Source organism: Homo sapiens, chromosome 11 (genome assembly GCF_000001405.40).
Source record: "Homo sapiens chromosome 11, GRCh38.p14 Primary Assembly".
Classification (NCBI taxonomy): Eukaryota; Metazoa; Chordata; class Mammalia; order Primates; family Hominidae; genus Homo; species Homo sapiens.
Window position 1 is genome coordinate 9495846 of NC_000011.10, and position 20994 is coordinate 9516839.

A 20994-nucleotide genomic window follows, 5' to 3' on the forward strand; every position below is an offset into this window, starting at 1 on the left:
TGTGTCCCCACTTTTCAGAGAGGCCTTTGAGGCTCAGAGAAGGCAAGTGCCCATGGCCACACCACTAGGCAGTGGTGGATCCTTGCCTCAGATCCAGGCCCCTCTAGCAGCAGCCTCCACACTCTTAACCTTACATTGTGTAGTCTCTCCCAGCCCCCTGCTTCTAGTTTCTCATCACGTGTATGTTTCATGCAGACACCTTTGACCACTCGAGAAAGCTCAGACCTCAAACGTTCCTGTTCCCTACTTAAAACATTAGTAACTATCTCTTAATATTTAACATTTAGGTCTATATTGAGAACTATTGGGCTATCGTTTTTGTGAAGTTATCTTTTTTATAAGAAAAAAGCATACAACAAAATCATTTAGCAGTGTGGGAAAAAGTAGTTCTGTGTTGCAACCATCTTCCTGAGGAATACGTAAAGGAAATAGAATCATGCCTGCATTTTAATCACAGGTCCATGAGAGGTCACACACAGGAGATCGGCCTTATCAGTGTGAGCATGCAGGCTGTGGGAAGGCATTTGCAACAGGTAAAAGTATGAATTTTGTTTTTTTCTTGGTTCCAATTAGGGGTCAAGTAGAGACAGGCTAGTGGAAGGAACTGACCCCTTGGCTGTGTCTGAATCTGCAGAAGCACATGATCAGTTTTTCAGTCTCTCTCATAACTGCCTTTCGTCCTGCTTGCTCCAGACCCCTCTCTGTTCTTTTCTCCACTGACCTGTCTCTGCCTGCTGTGTTTTCTTTTTCTTTTTCTTTTTCTTTTTTTTTGAGACAGTTTCACTCTGTCACTCAGGTTTGGGTGCAGTGGCAGGATCTTGGCTCACTGCAACCTCCGCCTCCCAGGTTCAAGCAATTCTAGTGCCTCAGCCTCCCGAGTAGCTGGGATTACAGGCGCTCGTCATCATGCCCGGCTCATATTTTGTATTTTTAGTAGAGATGAGGTTTCACTATGTTGGCCAGGCTGGTCTCAAACTCCTGGTCTCAAGTAATCCGTCCGCCTCGGCCTCCCAAAATGCTGGGATTACAGGCGTGAGCCACTGCACCTGGCCTGCCTGCTGTGTTTGATACTTTTCACTCCTCCACATTCTGTTTATTTTAGCGGGAAAATAAAAGCCAAGCTTTAAAGGCTGTCATAGACTCTAACATCAGGACAGGCCTTAGCAATGGGATGAGGCCTTTGCATCCAGCAGGGCTGGGACTGGCACCAGGCCTGCTGACTTCCATTCTTCATTCCATGTCTTGATTCCACTTTGAGCTCTTGGGGTATGAGAACAACTGATAAAACTGAGGCACTTTAGAAAAGAAACACACAACCTCTTTTAGACAGAAATGAAACTATTGAATTTTCAGCATGGCAGTCCCGAGCTATGATACTTTTGTACATTTTTTTGTTTGTTTTTGAGACAGAATCTCACTCTGTCGCCCAGCCTGGAGTGCAGTGACGTGATCTCGGCTCCCTGCAACCTCTGCTTCAGGGTTCAAGCGATTCTCCTGTCTCAGCCTCCTGAGTAGCTGGGACTACAGGCATGCATCACCACACCCAGAAAATTTTTTGCATTTTTAGTAGAGATGGGATTTTACCATGTTGGCCAGGCTGAGCTCGAACTCCTGACTTCAGGTGATCCGCCCGCCTTGGCATTCCAAAGTGCTGGGGGTACAGGCGTGAGCCACCGTGCCCGGCCCTTTTGTACATTTTAAATAGTTATTCTGTGTATTTGCCTGATATTTTATACTTGGTATTGACTATATTTTTCAGTAGCTTATTCTCAGTGTGCATGTTTAGAGCAGTATTGTGTAATTAAATTTCTTTTAATTTTTTCTTAAAGGTTATGGATTAAAAAGTCACGTCAGAACTCATACAGGAGAAAAGCCATATCGGTGTTCGGAAGATAATTGTACTAAATCTTTCAAAACTTCAGGAGATCTACAGAAACACATCAGAACTCATACAGGTACTAGTGGAAACAGAGTGTCAAAATCTTTTTTTTTTTTTTTTTTTTGAGACGGAGTCTCGCTCTGTCGCCTAGGCTGGAGTGCAGTGGTGCAATCTTGGCTCACTGCAAGCTCCGCCTCCCGGGTTCACGCCATTCTCCTGCCTCAGCTTCCCAAGTAGCTGGGACTACAGGCACCCACCACCATGCCTGGCTAATTTTTTGTATTTTTAGTAGAGACGGGGTTTCACTGTGTTAGCCAGGATGGTCTCAATCTTCTGACCTCGTGATCCGCCCGCCTCTGCCTCCCAAAGTGCTGCGATTACAGGCGTGAGCCACCGCGCCCGGCCTAGGCCAAGTTAATCTGCAGGGACGGTACTTGAGGAATGAGTTTCTGGAAGAGTTTCAGGAAGTCAATATCAAGGGCTTCTCTTGAAACCCTGAAATTCCATATGACTTGCTGTATATGCATGTCTGCTGCTTTTCAGGGTGAGGGCTCATAGCTCTGTTAGATTCTCAGAAGGGTCCACGTCCCAGAAAAGATTAACAGTGGCCCTAGACCACGAGCTCTCTCAGGTTTTAGTTGTCTGGGCAACAAGTTTATTTACCTAGGATTACACATCTAATTAGTAGCCGAGCTGAGACAGAACCTAAGGCACCCAGTTGTTTCTCCTGCATTAAGTAGCTGCTAAAGAAAGTGTCTGAACCCCAACAGGCCCACAGCAAGAAAGATTCATTACTTTTTGTGATCATTTCTCCTTCTCTTTAAATTTTATCTTCTTTTCCTAAATAGTACGTTATTCTTACCTCCCCGACCATCTCCTCTCCTCCTTATATTTGATTACTTGTGGAGTTGGTATTAATAAGATAAATATTTGCTTTGGATTGGAGCTAAAAAAAAGTTCAGCAGCTGTTGATAAGAGATGCTATTATAAGCTGTTGACTAAATAATACAGCATTAAGATAATTTAGTTTGGGATTTTAGTATAGATGTTTTAAACGTGGTGTGATAACTGTGTCCCCATGTATGGAAATATCTGAAATAGTTTAGCTAATTTCCATGTAGGATTCTTGCAGCTATTAATGTTTAACCTGCAGCTTAACTATGACCCCAGATTGGCTTTACTTTACAACATTGAGGAACAGAGCTGTAGGTCTCTACTTCCATCTCATTCATGCACTTTTTATTTATTGTATCAGAGGCGAGTATTTCCAAGCTCCCATAAATTCTACTTGAATTTGGAAATAAAACCAACTTGTTATATAAAAGCTATATCAAACCAATAATCTAGTTTTATAAATATTGATTAAAAAACATCAGAATTGTGATTTATTTCATAGTATTCATTTGTCAAACCACATGTTCATATAACAGCTTTAAAATCATGATATTTTCATTGGTATAGTGTGGGATTGAGTAAGGGACATAGGGACTTCTGTAACAAATACAGAAGATTACAGTGCAAAAACAAAGCAGGATGTTACAGAATCAGAGTAGTAATACAGTGAAAATTATCCTAGAACAGTTGATTCCCTATCATAGCATGTCAGAGCTGGGAAGACTTTAGAGGTCATCTAGATCCAAGAGAAAAGACTTGCCCAGGATAAACTCTTTGTTCTCCTTAGGCTGACATAATGAATAAAACTTACTAGAGATAGGATCAAAGATTCCTGCTCCTTTTAAAATGATTTCATACTTAAGGGGAGAAATCTTTTGGAATGGTTTCCACCAATAGAGAAATCATAATTTCATTTGACCAAAAGAAAAACAACAAACTAGCCAGTCGTGGTAGCATGTGCCTGTGGTCGCAGCTACCCGGGAGGCTGAGGTGTGAGGATTGCTTGAGGGCAGGAGTTCGAGGCTGCAGTGTGCAACCATCGTGCCTGTGAAGAGCCACTGCATTCCAGCCTGAGCAACATAGTGAGACTCATCTCTTAAAAAATTTAACAAACTTACTATATATAGATAAATATCTGTATCTGTCTATATAAAGAGAGATTTTTTCCCCTTCCCCAGAAGTTGTTTGCCTAATTTGAGCTCATCCTAGAAAAGGGTACATGAGAATCAAAAGCAAAGGCTACTTCTTGCTTGACAGTTTAAAGGCCTTTCGTATTCCAAGATTGTATAAAGCAAATATGAAGGAAAGAAACATAATTGGTAAAGCAGATTTTTTTGTTTTTGAGACAGTGTCTCACTTCAGTGCCCAGGCTGGTGTGCAGTGGCACAGTCACAGCTCACTACAGCCTTGACTTCTTGTGCTCATGTGATCCCCCCATCTCACCCTCCCGAGTAGCTGGGACTTACCACTGTGCACCACTACACCCAGCTAATTTTTTGAATTTTTTTTGTAGAGACGGGGTTTCGCCATGTTGCCCAGGCTGGTCTTGAACTCCTGAGCTCAAGTGATCCGCCTGCCTTAGCCTCTCAAAGTGCTGGGATTACAGGCATGTGCTGCTGTGCCTGGCCAGACTTTTTATAAGCTTAGATTATGAGGGTAGTAGTAGTATGTCCAGCAGGTATTTTTGACATATGTGCTAGGCACTAGATTTTCTTTTTTTTTTTTTTGGTTCAGTAACACAAGTATGTATTGAACACCTACTATTTCCTGACACAGTTAATATTAGGCATTATCTTGTTGAACATTAGTTAAAACACCATTTTTTTTTCTCTTGAGATGGAGTCTCGCTCTGTCGCCGAGGCTGGAGTGCAACGGTGTAATCTCGGCTCACTGCAACCTCCGCCTCTTGAGTTCAAGCGATTCTCCCGCCTCAGCCTCTCGAGTAGCTGGGATTACAGGCGCCCGGCACCATGCCCAGCTAATTTTTTGTATTTTTAATAGAGAAAGGGTTTCACCATGTTGGCCAGGCTGGTCAAAACACCATATTTTTAAAGAGCAAAAATTATTTTCCTGCAAGATATTGTAGAATAAATCAAGTAGGATACAAGCTTTTAGGGAATTCTGGGTTTGTTCTAATTTAATTCATATTCCTGACTGTACTTTTCTTTTATATTTCTTATGTTTTTCTCTCTGCTTTTCTCAGCTCATTTTTTGCCTACCTGGATGATTCCATCTTGGAGAGCTATGTAATCAGTGATTAGTTTTGAATACCATTCCCAGTTTCTTATGTAGATTTAAGTTTGGAGTGGAAGATGCTGTTTCCCCAACCCCCCCAAAAAAATGCCTGAAAGGGAAGCTCAGCACAAGAAGGCTAGAGTCTTGAGCATAATCCTAGGCAGGATTGAAGGATAAGACATTTTAATCCTCTATATATTTTTGCACCATTTAATGTATTACCCTTTATATTTGCAGGAGAAAGGCCCTTTAAGTGTCCCTTCGAAGGCTGCGGTCGGTCCTTTACAACATCAAATATCAGAAAAGTGCACGTTAGGACACACACAGGAGAAAGACCTTATTACTGCACAGAGCCAGGATGTGGGAGGGCATTTGCCAGTGCAACAAATTATAAAAACCATGTGAGGATACACACAGGTAACAATCTCTGATCTTTTGGTCTTTTATCTTTCAAGGCTCAGTTTAACTCCTGCCTTTTCCAGAAACCATTTCCAACTAATCTCTTCCCTCCTTTCTATCACTTGGCATGGTGGAAAGAGATTAAGCAACTTGAAAAAGTTTCACCTTAACAGTCATACATTCATTTATTCAACAAACAGTTATTGAGTATCTCCTGCCAGGCATCAAACATAGAGAGATAAGACATTGTCAAGGGCAGGCTACTTGGGAAGAGATAGTAGACATACAGTTGCTGCAGTGTCTCCCATTATATGGACAAGATGCTGTGGGAGCAGAGAGGGGAGCAGTCACTTCTGCAGGAATGGGAGAAGCATTTTGGGAGGGGTTTCTGGGAGATATTTGGCATACAGACTCAATCCTGAAGTTTGCCACATAAGAGAGAAGGGTATTCCTGGCAGGGGAAATGTCATGGGGAAAGGCACAAAGGTATGAAAAAGCATGATACTCAGTGGTTCCATATGACAGGAGCATTAAGTACATGTAGAAGATTTGTACAAGGTGAGTTCTGAGAGGTAGCCAGAGGCCTTGTGTGTTGTGCTGTCAAAGTTAAGGTACTTCTTAAACTGGACTTTGTGAAGCTTGTGAGGGGGCGGGGTGGTCTATGGATATATTCTTTTTTTTTTTTTTTTTTTTTTTTTTTTGGGATGGAGTTTCGCTGTTGTTGCCCAGGCTGGAGTGCAATGGCGCGATCTCGGCTCACTGCAACCTCCGCCTCCCAGGTTTAAGCGATTCTCCCACCTCAGCCTCCCTAGTAACTGGGATTACAGGCATGTGCCACCATGCCCGGGTAATTTTGTATTTTTAGTAGAGACGGGGTTTCTCCATGTTGGTCAGGCTAGTCTGAAACTCCCAACCTCAGGTGATCTGCCCGCCTCGGCCTCTCAAAGTGCTGGGAATCCAGGTGTGAGCCACCGCGCCTGGCCATATTCTTTTTTTTTTTTTTTTTTTTTTTTGGGAAACTGCTTTATTGAAATATAATTCACATACTATACAATTCATCTATTTAAAGTGTATGGGCCGGGCGCGGTGGCTCACGCCTGTAATCCCAGCACTTTGGGAGGCCGAAGTGAGCGGATCACGAGGTCAGGATATCGAGACCATCCTTGGCTAACATGGTGAAACCCCATGTCTACTAAAAACACAAAAAATTAGCCGGGCATGGTGGCGGGTGCCTATAGTCCCAGCTACTCCGGAGGCTGAGGCAGGAGAACAGCATGAACCCGGGAGGCAGAGCTTGCAGTGAGTTGAGATCGCACCACTGCACTCCAGCCTGAGCAAGAGCGAGACTCCATCTCAAAAAAAAAAAAAAAGTATGTGTTTCAGTGTTTTTTAGTATATTCACAAGGTTGTGCAACCATCACCACAATTCAATTTTAGAATATTTTCATTTCCCCTAAAAGAAATTCCATACTCAGAAGCAGTCCTTTCCCCACCCCGCCCCCCAGGTGTAAGCAATCACGAATCTACTTTCTCTTCTATGGGTTTGCCCATTCTGGATATTTTCATATAAATGAAATCATGCAGTATGTGGGGGGTTTTTGTCTGACTTCGTTCTCTTTGCATAATGGAGTGCAGTGGCGCAATCTCGGCTCACTGCAAGCTCCGCCTCCTGGGTTCACACCATTCTCCTGCCTCAGCCTCCCAAGTAGCTGGGACTATAGGCGCCTGCCACCATGCCTGGCTAATTTTTTGTATGTTTTAGTAGAGACGGGGTTTCACTGTGTTAGCCAGGACGGTCTCGATCTCCTGACCTCGTGATCCACCTGCCTCGACCTCCCAAAGTGCTGGGATTACAGACATGAGCCACCGCTCCTAGCCTGCATAATGTTTTTGAAGTTCAACCATGTTGTAGCAACTTTTAAATTCTTTCTTTTTTCAGTAACTGAATAGTATTTCATTATATGGATGTACTACATTTTGTTTATTCACCAGTTGTTTTCACTTCTGGCTATTAAGAATAATAATAGATTACATATGTCATATGTATTCCTTATATGCAATGAGCATTCATGTACAAGTTTTTATGTGGACATGTTTTCATTTCTCTTGGATGTGTACTTAGGAGTGGACTTGCTGGGTCATATGGTAACTCCATGCTTAACATTTTAGGAACTTCCAAACTGTTCTCCCAAGTGGCTGCACCATTTTACAGTCTCATCAGCAATGGATGAGGGTTCCAGTTTCTCCACATCCCAGCTAACAGTTGTTATTATCCCAGCTAACAGTTGTTATTATCTGTCTTTTTTTATTATAGCCATCTTAGTAGGTGTGAATTGGTATCTCATTCCGACTTTTGATTTGCATTTTTCTGATGGCTAATGATGTGAAGCTTTTTTTTTTTTTTTTGAGACGGAGTCACGCTCTGTCTCGCCCAGGCTGGAGTGTAGTGGTGTGATCTCAGCTCACTGCAGCCTCCGCCTGCCGGGTTCAAGCGATTGATTGATTGATCCTGTTTCAGCCTCCTGAGTAGCTGGGACTACAGGTGTGTGCCACCACACCCAGCTAATTTTTGTATTTTTAGTAGAGACAGGGTTTCACCATGTTGGCCAGGCCGGTCTCAAACTTCTGACCTCAGGTGATTCACCTGCCTTGGCCTCCCAAAGTGGTGGGATCACAGGCATGAGCCACCACGCCTTGCCTTTTTTTTTTTTTTTTTTTTTTTTTTGAGACAGAGTCTTGCTGTGTCACTCAGGCTGGAGTGCAGTGGCGCAATCTTGGCCTGCTGCACCCTCCACCTCCCACGTTCAAGCAATTCTTCTGCCTCAGCCCCCACAAGTAGCTGGGATTACAGACACCTGCCACCACACCCAGCTAATTTTTGTATTTTTAATAGAGATAGGTTTTCACCATGTTGGCCAGGCTAGTCTCAAACTCCTGACCTTGTGATCCTCCCACCTCAGCCTCCCAAACTGCTGGGATTACAGGTTTGAGCCACCACACCTGGCCAAAGCATCTTTTTATGTATTTATTAGCCATGTGTATATCTTCTTTGGAGAAATGTCTATTCAAATCCTTTGCCCGTTTTTAAAATTGGGTTGTGTCTTTATTACTGAGTTGTATAACTTTAATTCGAGAGACTTGAATCCAAGTCTCTTATTAGATATATTAGTTACAGATATTTTCTTCCATTCTGTGGCTGGTTTTTTAATTCTCTTAATGATATTTGCAGTATAGAAGCTTTTAATTTTAATGCTCCATTTTGTGGATGTATTTTTGGTGGGTGAGAATGGAAAGGCAAATGTGAGCGTAAGGCAGGATATGCATTAGTTTTATAAGAAAAATTTTAATATATTGTTTTATTACTGGTATTAAGAGTAAACTTGTGTTAATTCAAAATTAAAAGACATTTTTTTCTTTTTTCTTTTTTTTTTTTTTTTTTTGAGACAGCGTCTCGCTCTGTTGCCCAGGCTGGAGTGCAATGGCGTGATCTCAGCTCACTGCAACCTCCGCCTCCTGGGTTCAAGCGATTCTCCTGCCTCAGCCTCCTGAGTAGCTGGGACTACAGGCACCTGCCACCACGCCCAGCTAATTTTTATACTTTTAATAGAGACGGGATTTCACCATGTTGGCCATGACAGTCTCAATCTCTTGACCTTGTGATCCACCCGCCTCGGCCTCCCAAAGTGCTGGGATTACAGGTGTGAGCCACCACGCCCAGCCTCTTTTTTTTTTTTTTTTTAAGATGGAGTCACGCCCTGTCACCCAGGCTGGAGTGCAATGGCACGATCTAGGCTCACTGCAACCTCCGCCTCCTGGGTTCAAGTGATTCTCCTGCCTCAGCCTCCTGAGTAGCTGGGACTACAGGCGCATACCACCATGCCCAGCTAATTTTTGTATTTTTAGTAGAGACAGGGTTTCACCATGTTGGCCAGGATGGTCTCCATCTCCTGACGTTGTGATCCACCCACCTTGGCCTCCCAAAGTGCTAGGATTACAGGCGTGAGCCACCATGCCTGGCCAAAAGACTTTTTTTTTGAGATGGAGTCTCGCTCTGTCGCTCAGGCTGGAGTGCAGTGTCGTGACCTCAGCTCACTGCGACCTCTGCCTCCTGGGTTCAAGTGATTCTCCTGCCTCAGCCTCCCGAGTAGCTGGGATTACAGGCGCATGTCATCACGCTGAGCTAAGTTTTGTATTTTTAGTAGAGACAGGGTTTCACCATGTTGGCCCAGCTGATCTTGAACTCCTGACCTCAGGTGAGCCACCACGCCCAGCCCTGATATGCAATTTTTGTGTGCTATACATAAACATGTACCTACGAATGAGTTCACTTACTGTTAAATAATTATGGCCAGGCATGGTGGCTCACACCTGTAATCCCAGCACTTGGGGAAGGTCAAGGTGAGCAGATCACTTGAGGTCAGAGTTTCGTGACCAGCCTGGCCAACATGGTGAAACCCTGTCTCTACCAAAAAATACAAAAATTAGGCCTGGTGGTGGGCACCTGCAATCCCAGCTACTTGGGAGACTGAGGCAGGAGAGTTGCTTGAACCTGGGAGGTGGAGGTTGTAGTGAGTCAAGATCATGCCACTGCACTCCAGCCTGGGCGACTGAGTGAGACTCCATATCAAAAAAAAAAAAAAAAAAAGGAAAAGACAATTCATCTTTTAAGTGCTTCTTATTAAAATATATGTGCTTAAGTGCCTTTTTGTAATATTTGGAGAAAATGGCTGGGGCTTTTTGGATGGGCTGGGAAAACATTATTTTTCCCATTTAAATTAATGGAATATAGATAGAGCTTGGCGCAGTAGTAGCTCATGCCTGTAATCCCAGCACTTTGGGAGGCCAAGGTGGGTGGATCACTTGAGGTCAGGAGTTCAAAACCAGCCTGGCCAACATGGCGAAACCAATTCTCTACCAAAAAATACAAAAGTTAGCTGGGTGTGGTGGCAGCTGCCTGTAATCCCAGCTACTCAGGAGGCTGAGGCAGGATAATCACTTGAATCCAGGAGGTGGAGGTTGCAGTGAGTCGAGATCACACCATTGCACTTCCAGCATGGGTGACAGAGCGAGACTCCGTCTCAAAAAGAAAAGAAAAAAGCAATGGAATACAGACTAATTATCTGAAAGCTAGCCATTCAACACATTTTATGGGCAAATTAGCATTCAATAAGAGAGATGCCTACATTAAGTTTGGCCATACTGATGTCTTTGGAACATTTAGGTAGAGCAGTGCTCTCAAATGAGTCTGCATATTGGATGTATCTCTTTAAAATAGACTGATTGCCCAGATCCTGTCTGCAAAGATTCTGACATAATTGTACTGGGGTGAGGCCCAGGCATCAGGGTGTATTTAAAGCTCCCCAGGTCTTTTAGTAGACTGTTTTGAGAATAATTGAAGTAGAGAGAGTATGCAGTTATAAATGTTGGTCTGACCTAAGAGGTGGGTCTGGGCTGGAAGAAAAGATTGGCTAATGATCAGGTAATTGCTACAATAACTGGTCACAATATCCAGTAGAGTAAAGATTCAGACCTGTGAAATGCAGTCCTTTTTTCTTTTCTTTTTCTTTTTTTTTCTTTGCAAGGCTCGTCAGATGACCCAGGTGAAGCTATGTAACTAGCCAGTAAGGGAGCTCAAAAGCTCAATCCAAATCCATTCGCCTCTTGGCTGTGGTTTGGTGCCACCTAGTGGCAGTTTCTGCTCTAGCCTAAATATCAATTGGGCTGATTTTTCCAAGTTGAAATTGGCTGCCCTTTCTCTTGCCCTCACCACATCTCAGCAACTATCCACCAAAATAAGAACATTAACCTGCCTGCTTTGGGAATGGGAACTGGGCAGAGGACAGGAAGAAATCGCCAATTACTTTATGTGTAAGACTTATGTTACGGTACATTAGTGTGGTATCTTATTTTTGGGGGGGTTTACTGTGTTTAGAACCACTGCGAAAGGTGCAGTTACCCAAGGAATGTGTCGAATGAGAATAAACCAGGACATGCATATGTATACACACTTTCATATGTACATTTTAAAAATCTGAGTTCACACCAATACCTCCAATTCCATTTCACCACAGGGTTCTTTTTGTTTTTCTTCCCCCATTCCATATTTGTATTCTCCTTTTTCCACAGCTGGAGCCCTTCCAGCAGCATTTGAAATATTTACTCATTTGCTCAGTCTTTTATTCCATCTAAAATAGTTTCAGAATCCCTTCACCCATACCACTACAGTAAACAAGCCTACTACAAATGAGCTGAATATTTGTTTGCAATTCTTCCCCTCACTCTCGCCACTGAGCCCAAGACTGAGGGCATAAGTCAAATACTGTGTAAATGAGCTACTTTAATTAATTTATTTGTTCCCCCACCCCAGCCCCTTCAGTGTAGTTAAAAGTATTCATTTAAACAATTAGGTTAATTTGTTCCAGTTTGCTTTCAGTTTTAGGTCCCTACACCACCACATGTTAGCACTGTCTAGATATTTTGTGATATTAAGTAATTATTATTAATTTTGTTTACATATTTTTTAAACTGGGACCCATCTTTTTGGTATACAGCCTGAAAGAAAAAGAATGTTACCTGCAACTGTTTCGGAATAATCCTGGTCGGGAAGAAGGGGGAAATGGGTAGTAAATATAAGAAACAATATTGGTCATGAACTGATAGTTGAAGCTGGATGATTGGTACATGGGGAACTGTTTCTCTATACTTTTGTGTATATTTGAAATTTTCTGTAGTAAAAAGTTCTAAAAATATGTGTACTGCCTATAATGTTCTCAAGCTGTTTCATGGGACAAAAATTAAAGTATTTACTTCCCTATGTATTGCCTGCTTGCTATTAGTGAATACTCAGTAGCTTTTGATTGGATGTAAGAAGTCAGGTTAAGTTAAATGAAACATGTTTGTCCTTTTAGTTGTATTGACATATCTAACTAGGTTTAATAGACTTTTAAAGACAATCCTTTTTTATTATCTTTATGAAATTCTTAGGAAGCTGCATAAGTTACGATAATAGCATTTATTATTATTAATAGACTATAACAGTATCTAGATTATCTAATTATGGGAAACAAATTACAGTTTCATTAAAGTTAGAGTTAAACTGGGCAACATCTCCATCCTTTTCTCATTCCTTGAGATTAAGGAGAACCTGGTGTTGATGCATGGAGACAGCACTAAGGATCATACTACCTTTTGAGTCAAGTCAAAACCATAGTTAGGGAATCTTTTCTTGTGTGCTGCCTCATGGTGGGATGAGGAGGGGTTTGGCAATTCTTTATTTTTAGAGGTATTTTACCCCCTGGGGGGGAAGTATGGAATGATTTTGCCTACATATGTAAAAGTTGAACTTTTTTTTGGTGTTGCTCTTTAGGAGAAAAGCCATATGTTTGTACAGTTCCTGGGTGTGACAAAAGGTTTACAGAATATTCCAGTTTGTACAAACATCATGTTGTCCACACTCATTCCAAACCTTACAACTGTAACCACTGTGGGAAGACATACAAGCAGATCTCCACGCTGGCCATGCACAAACGGACAGCCCACAACGACACTGAGCCCATCGAGGAGGAGCAGGAAGCCTTCTTTGAGCCGCCCCCAGGTGAGAGTTTTGTCTACTATATTTTGTTTCTGAGTTTGAGAATCAACAGTTATGAACATAATTTATGATTCATAGCATTTTCTGAAATCCTAATGTGTCATTCGTATAATCACATAAACATAATTTACAGCTGCAGTAAGTGCTATTGAAGAAAAGTATGTGGTACTCTGGGATGTATAGAAGGGAATGTTAGTTTGGGAGGTCAAGGAAGGGATTTTTGGAGAGATCTTGAGGTTGAATAGGGGTTAACTGGGTGAAGAAGCAGAGGTTGCTGGGAAGGGAAGCAGGAAGCAAAGGCAAGAGAATGTTCCAAATAGAGAGAATGGCACATGCAGAAAGCCAGGAGGTTGGAGAGACCAAAGTAAATTGGAGATACTGAATGAAGCCTGGCCAGTTAGGGCAGTTCTGCCTGGGAAGGTGATATGAAACAAGGCTGGAGAGCGAGGCAGGGGCAGCCAGCCTGTTTGGGTCCATTAAGCATGTTGGTCTTAATCGTAACACTAGAGAAGTACTCCCAAATAACTCTTCATTGATTCAGGTGCTATTAAGTATGTTATTGTAAGAGACAAAATTATTTGTTTCAGTAAACCCTTGGAAAAATATTTTAGAGAATTACATTGAATTATTTCAGATAAATAAGCATAGGTAAGTAGGTAAAAGGAAGTCGGTTTTTCTAAAACACAAAACAAAGCAAGTTGTCTTACAGTTTCATTGAGTACCTCCTAAATGAAGTAAATTTGAAAATTAAGAGAAGACATCTTTTTTCATTTTTAACAACATATATTGAAGCATTGAAAAACATTTAGGTGGAAAAGGTTTGTTGGAGAGTAAGGGAAAGAACAGATCATCTGCTCAGATGATTCCTTGTAGTCCTGATTTGTCTTTTCAGGTATTTGTTAGGTGGTGGTAGGTTAATAGCAATTCCATCAGTCTTCATGGTGATTATTTTCTAGCCAGAACACTGTAAGTGTGCATGGTTAAATATTACATCAATTGGGGAGATACTGGTCAAAGAGTACAGTTTCAGTTAGGAGGAATAAGTTCTGGAGATCTGCACAGCATGTGACTACAGTTAATAATAATGTACTGTATATTTGACAATTGCTAAGAGAAAGGAAGTAAATAAGAAGATCCTACAACAACTGCTGAGTCTTTTTAGTTAGAAAGCAGGCTTTAATGATATCAGACTTAAGTTTGCAAGACTCTTTTTCTAAGCTTCCTCAAGTCTCTTCCTTAAATGTTGATATTTCAGGTTATCAGAAGTTCCTATATTCTTTTTTTTTTTTTTTTATTTTTGAGATGGAGTCTCGCTCTGTTGCCCAGGCTGGAGTGCAGTGGTGCGATCTCGGCTCACTGCAAGCTTCGCCTCCCGGGTTCATTCCATTCTCCTGCCTCAGCTTCCTGAGTAGCTGGGACTACAGGCGCCCGCCACCATGCCTGGCTAATTTTTTGTGTTTTTAATAGAGACGGGGTTTCACCGTGTTAGCCAGGATGGTCTCGATCTCCTGACCTCGTGATCCGCCCACCTCGGCCTCCCAAAGTGCTGGGATTACAGGCGTGAGCCACCGTACCCAGCCCAGAAGTTCCTATATTCTAGAAAATAGTCTATAATATAATAATATACATTTTATTTAAAAACAAAACTAAACTAAGATTGTTTTTCCAAGAATAGGGATGGATTTCTGTTTTCTCTCACATGATCCACTGGGTTTTGTAACCTGTTGGAATAATGGTATATAAATAGCTGTGGAACAGAACAAAAAGGAATGAAGTAATGTCTGTCATGGAAATTACACGTTGATGACTGTAGCCATATGAGTGCATGGATTAACCACTGAATTGAGAAGTACTCTTAGATTAGCATATTATGTCCTTTGAGGGGGAAACATTTTTTTTTTGCTCTCTTTCTGACTTCATGGGAGGTAGAAAGTGATGAAAGACGAGAGGGACCAGGAATCTTCCTGGTTGACAATTATAGTAGTAATGGATTGTTGAAATTGCTGTTTACTTACTGGTTCTTTATGAAATAAAGAAGTGATGGAGGTTCCTTTTATGTCACTAAATTATTAACCATACCTCAGATAATATGCCATACATTGTCTTTACACAGTGAGGTCATTGTGTACTGATGGTTTGCAATCAATCAGTTGTGCTAAAGACCAAGTTTAGTATCAGTGGGTGTGTTTGCAAACCATTCTGGCTTTGTGGTTAATGTTTATGAAAATGAAAATAGTCTTAACCACTTTTAACAGCTTCTTTTTTTTTTTTTTTTTTTTTTTTTGAGACGGAGTTTCGCCCTTGTTGCCCAGGCTGGAGTGCAATGGTGCCATCTCGGCTCACCACAAGCCCTGCCTCCCGGGTTCAAGTGATTTCTCCTGCCTCAGCCTCCTGAGTAGCTGGTATTACAGGCATGCTCCACCAGGCCCGCCTAATTTTGTGTTTTTGTTTGTTTGTTTGTTTTTGTTATTGAGACAGAGTCTTGCTCTGTCGCCCAGGCTGGAGTGCAGTGGTGCAATCTCGGCTCACTGCAAGCTCCGCCTCCTAGGTTCACACCATTCTCCTGCCTCAGCCCCCTGAGTAGCTGGGACTACAGGCGCCTGCCACCATGCCCGGCTATTTTTTTTTTTTTTGTATTTTTAGTAGAAATGGGTTTCACCGTGTTAGCCAGGATGGTCTCGATCTCCTGACCTCATGATCCGCCCGCCTTGGCCTCCCAAAGTGCTGGGATTACAGGTGTGAGCCACCATACCCGGCCTTGGTTTTGTATTTTTAATAGAGACGTGGTTTCTCCATGTTGGTCAGACTGGTCGCGAACTCCCAACCTCAGGTGATCTGCCCACCTTGGCTTCCCAAAGTACTGACTGGGATTACAGGTGTGAGCCACTGTGCCTGGCCTTTAACAGCTTTTTTTTTTTTTTTTTTTGAGACGGAGTCTTGCTCTGTCGCCCAGGCTGGACTGCAGTGGCGTGATCTCGGCTCACTGCAACCTCTGCCTCCCGGGTTCATGCCATTCTCCTGCCTCAGCCTCCCGAGCAGCTGGGACTACAGGCGCCCGCCACCATGACCAGCTAATTTTTTGTATTTTTAGTAGAGACGGGGTTTCACTGTGTTAGCCAGGATGGTCTCGATCTCCTGACCTCGTGATCCACCCACCTCAGCCTCCCAAAGTCCTGGGATTACAGGCATGAGCCACCGTGCCTGGCCTAACAGCCTCTTAAGTGAATGCGAGAATTTAGTGCATACTTGCTGTATTTGAAGGGTTATTTGCTAGTTTTCCTGTACAGTTCCTCCCCTCTCCGCCCCTAATACACATATAGTATCAAGTAATTACTCCAACTAAGAGAATAAAACAGGTCCCTGAAAATCAGAACACTTAAATTTGATGCAGAAAGATTTTTTGTTTGGTCTGCTTTGATGTAGTTTGCCTTTGCAAAAGTGGAGGTGGAGGAATTGGAAGGAGGTCCTGGAAGCCATTTTCGTGACTTAGAATATAATACATGTACATTTTAATTATGTAATTTTCTCTTTAATATTTAAAATGTCCTATTTTCTAAACAAATTGGTTGGTTGGTCAAATAAATGATTCATTTGTTTTAAACAGGTCAAGGTGAAGATGTTCTTAAAGGGTCCCAGATTACGTATGTTACAGGTGTAGAAGGGGACGACGTTGTTTCTACACAAGTAGCCACAGTAACCCAATCTGGACTGAGTCAACAAGTTACACTCATATCCCAGGATGGGACTCAGCATGTAAGTATCCACCAAAAGCCAAACAAATTAAATCTTTCTGTGAACCTGGGCTTGAAAGGCAGGCTGGGTCCCCATTGAGGAAAGCTTTGAAATATCAGGGCACAAAGTTTGGAAACCCTGAGGTTTTTCAGTAGTCTGCTTACAGAGACTACGTGCAGAGAGATTAGGAGAGAGAGAAGGTTTGTGACTGTAGAATCCGAATGGTATTCTTGGTGTAGTTCAAAGGTGAGATGATAAAGGTCAGCCACAGAGAGGCTCAGGGCTTCAAAAGTACTGGATCCATGTGAAACACAGATCAGAAAAGGGATAGGATTTGGTGGCTGATTAGATGCAGGAGGTGAGATTGAGAAAACAGAGATTTGGCTGAGGTGATCAGCATATGATGGCACCATTAAGAGATCAGGAATCATGAGAGTTCACTCAACTAGCCTCACAGAGTCGGTAGAATAGGTATCTTGATTTCCCCCCAGGAAAAGCACAGTGTAATGGTTGTTCTCTGTTAGCCAAACTTGTTATTATTTTCTAGATGTCACTAGCCTAAAATTATTCCACCTTGATTCCATTTTTAAGCTCTAGCAAAGACTGTCTTAATACCTGGTGGAAATATGCACAATGTGCTTCTTTACCCTTCTGTGTCTTCCTCTTTCATGGAGAACGCTCTCCTTACCCATCTCTCAGAGTTTAATGATTAATATGCTCTGTTTTGATACTCAGGATTAGAAAATACAAAGCTCTTACACCTTCTCATTTATCTCCTTCCTCACTTTGACGTCACTAATTTCACACTATACTCTCTGTCCTCTGACTGGTATGCAAGATTATTAACCAAGTTTTAATTCTGCATCAGCCTTAACACTTTTTCTTGAATTAGATCATCACATACAGAGGTCCTCTGGAGGTTGTTTTATATAACCTCCCTGTTCCCTATACAGGAAAAATTCCCACTATAGCAGGTCTGAAATAGCCACTACTGAGAAACCCCCAGTGATTAGGCAATTTCTGTCTTAGGCAATCTGGGTCCAGGCGCGGAGGCTTACGCCTATAATCACAGCACTTTGAGAGGCCAGAGCGGGTGGATCACTTGAGATCAGGAGTTTGAGACCAGCCTGGCCAATGTGGTGAAACCCCATCTCTACTAAAAATACAAAAATTAGCTGGTGTGGTGGCGCTCTCGTGTAGTTCCACCTACTAGGTAGGCTGAGGCGGGAGGATCACTTGCACCCAGGAGGCGGGGTAAGACAACATTGTGCCACTACACTCCGGCCTGGACATTGGAGTGAGACTCTGTCTCAAAATAAATAAATAAATACATTTTAAAAAGAGGCAATCTGTTCCATTGTTGGATAATTCTAGTGTTTGTTTGTGTGGTTTTAGAGATGGTCCCACTCTGTTGCCCAGGGCAAAGTGCAGTGGCAGAATCATAGCTCAAAGGACTACAGGTGTGTACCACCACACCTGGCTAATTAAAAAAACATGTTTTTTTCAGAGGTGAGGTCTCACTGTGTTATCCAGGCTGGTCTTGAACTCCTGGCCTCAGGTGATCCTCCTGCGTCAGCCTCCCAGAGCGCTGGGATTTCAGGCATAAGCCACCATAATTCTACTATTTATCAGACCAGAACCCACCCCTGTATCATCCTCTCATGGCTCCTCTCCGACCATACAGAATAAGTCTTATCCTTCTTCATATATTCCAAAACAACTATCTTTCCCATCCCAATGTTGTACTTTCTCTACACTTAACCTTCTCATTTCCTTCAGGAATTAGATTTCCATTCCATTCCTTTCATCAGTCAAATGATAGACATTTATAGAGCACCTACCCCATGCCAGACATTTTGGTCAGTGGACTTAGTGTTGGAATCACAGGAAGGGCAGTATCACAGTCTAGTAGGAGAGAGACCCTTTTAGAATGAATAATTTTTCATAATGACGTGTATATAATTGAGAGATACAGAAAGTGCTGTGGCACCCTGGAGGAGAGAGTAAATTTTTCTTCCTAAAGTAATCTTGCAGATCCTAATAAGAGAATGGGTGTTCAGTTGGGTCTTGAAGGATTTTCATGAACTCACCAGAGAGTGAAGGGAAGAGCAAAGTCATAAAAATACAAGAGAATATGACACTTTCTGGGACTGCAAATGACTAGTTGTGGCTGGAGTGTCAGTTGCTAGTTTAAAAGCAGTGGAAGATGAGCCTGGGGAAGTTGGTAAAGGCCAGGTCATGAAAGGTCAGGAATGCTATGTAAGAAGTCTGGGCTGGGCACAGTGGCCCATGCCTGTAATCCCAGCACTTTGAGAGGCCAAGGCAGGCGGATCACCTGAGGTCAGGAGTTTGAGACCAGCCTGACCAACATGGAGAAACCCCATCTCTACTAAAAATACAAAATTAGCCGGGTGTGGTGGTGCATGCCTGTAATCCCAGCTACTCGGGAGGCTGAGGCAGGAGAATTGCTTGAATCCAGGAAGCAGAGGTTGCGGTGAGCCGAGATCATGCCATTGCACTCCAGCCTGGGCAACAAGAGTGAAACTCCTCAAAAAAAAAGTCTGAACTATAGGTGATGGGCAGTCACAGGGGATTTCAGCAGCAGAGAGCATAATAAGATTTTGTTTTGTTTTGTTTTAGAAAGATGTCAACATAGAGGATGGTTAGGGAAGGGTTAGACTGGATACCTGGAGAGAAGTTGGATTCTCGTAGAAATTCAGATGGGAGAAAAATAAGGATCTAAATTAGCAACAGGAATGGAGAGGAGGAAATGCAATTAAGAAATACTGTATTGCCGGGTGTGGTGGCTCATGCCTGTAATCCCAGCACTTTGGGAGGCCGAGGTGGGCGGATCACAAGGTCAGGAGATCGAGACCGGCTTGTCTAACACGGTGAAACCTCGTCTCTACTAAAAACACACAAAAAAAAATTAGCTGGGCGTGGTGGTGGGCTCCTGTAGTCTCAGCTACTTGGGAGGCTGAGGCAGGACAGTGGCATGAACCCGGGAGGCGGAGCTTCCAGTAAGCAGAGATTGCGCCACTGCACTCCAGCCTGGGCAACAGAGCGAGACTCTGTCTCAAAAAAAAAAAAAAAGAAAAAGAAAAAGAAAAGAAATACTGTATTGCCGGGCACAGTGGCTCACACCTGTAATCCCAGCACTTTTGGGAGGCTGAAGTGGTAGGATCACTTGAGGCCAGGAGTCTGAGACCAGCCTGGGCAACATGTTGAGACCCCATGTCTACAAAAAAAATGACAAGTAATTAGTCGGGAGCAATGGGTCATGCCTATAGTCAGAGCTACTTAAGAGGATGAGGCTAGAGGATCACTTGAACCCAGGAGTTTTAGACTTCAGTGATTTATGATTGCATCACTGCCCTCCAGCCTGGGCAACAGAGTGAGGCCTTGTCTCCAAAAATAATAATAATAAAAAAATAATAAAAATATAAGAATTGTTAAAAGAAATATTGTATTGATTTTTCTGATGACTGAATGAGTTTATTTCATTCTAAAAGGCTTATTTACATCCACAGGGCAAACTTATACAAGGATTAGTCCTGGTCCTTATGGAAGATTGTCAGCTATAACAAGAAACATTGACTGCTTTGTAAAATTCACTGTATTGCAGGTCAACATATCTCAAGCTGACATGCAGGCCATTGGCAACACCATCACAATGGTAACGCAGGATGGCACGCCCATCACAGTCCCCGCCCATGATGCAGTCATCTCCTCAGCAGGAACGCACTCTGTTGCTATGGTTACTGCTGAGGGTACAGAAGGGGAACAGGTAATTACTTTTTTCTGTTATGTCAATCAATACATATATCAGTACCAAAACAGTTACATAGGTATGCAATGTGGTACAACAGTTAAGCACACAAACTTGGGAGTGACTAATATTTTGTAACTTCTTAGCTACTTAACCCTCAGAGCCTGTTTTTCCTCATATGTAAAGTAGGGTGCTAGTTGCATGTACCCCATAAGGTTGATATAAGGATTGAATGAGATAATGTATATAAGGTACTCAGCCCACATATATATTAAGTGTTCAGTAGTGGTAGCTATTCCTATTATCATCATTATCAGATACTTAGGAAATACTTGCAAAACTTACTATTTAATTTTTTGAATATGTCATATATTCATATGGTTTAAAACTCAAAAAATATATACAGGTATGTAATGAAAAGTCTTCATCCCACCCCTGCCTTCATCAACTTGTTCTTGCCTCCACAGATAATCAACTTTTATCAGTTTTTTGTGT

General features: G+C 42.4%; 1 protein-coding gene across 21 annotated transcripts in view, besides 2 other annotated features; it reads left to right on the plus strand.

Annotated features, from left to right (window-relative positions):
• The window catches only part of ZNF143 (zinc finger protein 143), a 67513-nt gene that overhangs the window by 34834 nt on the left and 11685 nt on the right, over positions 1 to 20994 (plus strand). For all 21 annotated transcript variants that reach the window (XM_047427553.1, XM_047427557.1, XM_047427552.1 and 18 more), the window contains 6 exons: positions 458 to 533; positions 1830 to 1955; positions 5246 to 5425; positions 12774 to 13001; positions 16603 to 16751; positions 20356 to 20517. In XM_047427553.1, coding sequence (XP_047283509.1) covers positions 458 to 533; positions 1830 to 1955; positions 5246 to 5425; positions 12774 to 13001; positions 16603 to 16751; positions 20356 to 20517 — 921 coding nt within the window. The remainder of the gene's footprint in view (positions 1 to 457; positions 534 to 1829; positions 1956 to 5245; positions 5426 to 12773; positions 13002 to 16602; positions 16752 to 20355; positions 20518 to 20994) is intronic.
• Positions 11008 to 11127: a silencer, noted in NCBI's record as "silent region_3127". NCBI's record gives its function as "represses an Ori minimal core promoter by ATAC-STARR-seq in GM12878 lymphoblastoid cells {active_cell/tissue: GM12878}" and the evidence as "EXISTENCE:reporter gene assay evidence [ECO:0000049][PMID:35858748]".
• Positions 19867 to 20407: an enhancer, noted in NCBI's record as "H3K27ac-H3K4me1 hESC enhancer chr11:9537259-9537799 (GRCh37/hg19 assembly coordinates)". NCBI's record gives its function as "activates a minimal SCP1, AML or CMV promoter by ChIP-STARR-seq in primed H9 embryonic stem cells {active_cell/tissue: H9 hESC(primed)}" and the evidence as "EXISTENCE:reporter gene assay evidence [ECO:0000049][PMID:30033119]".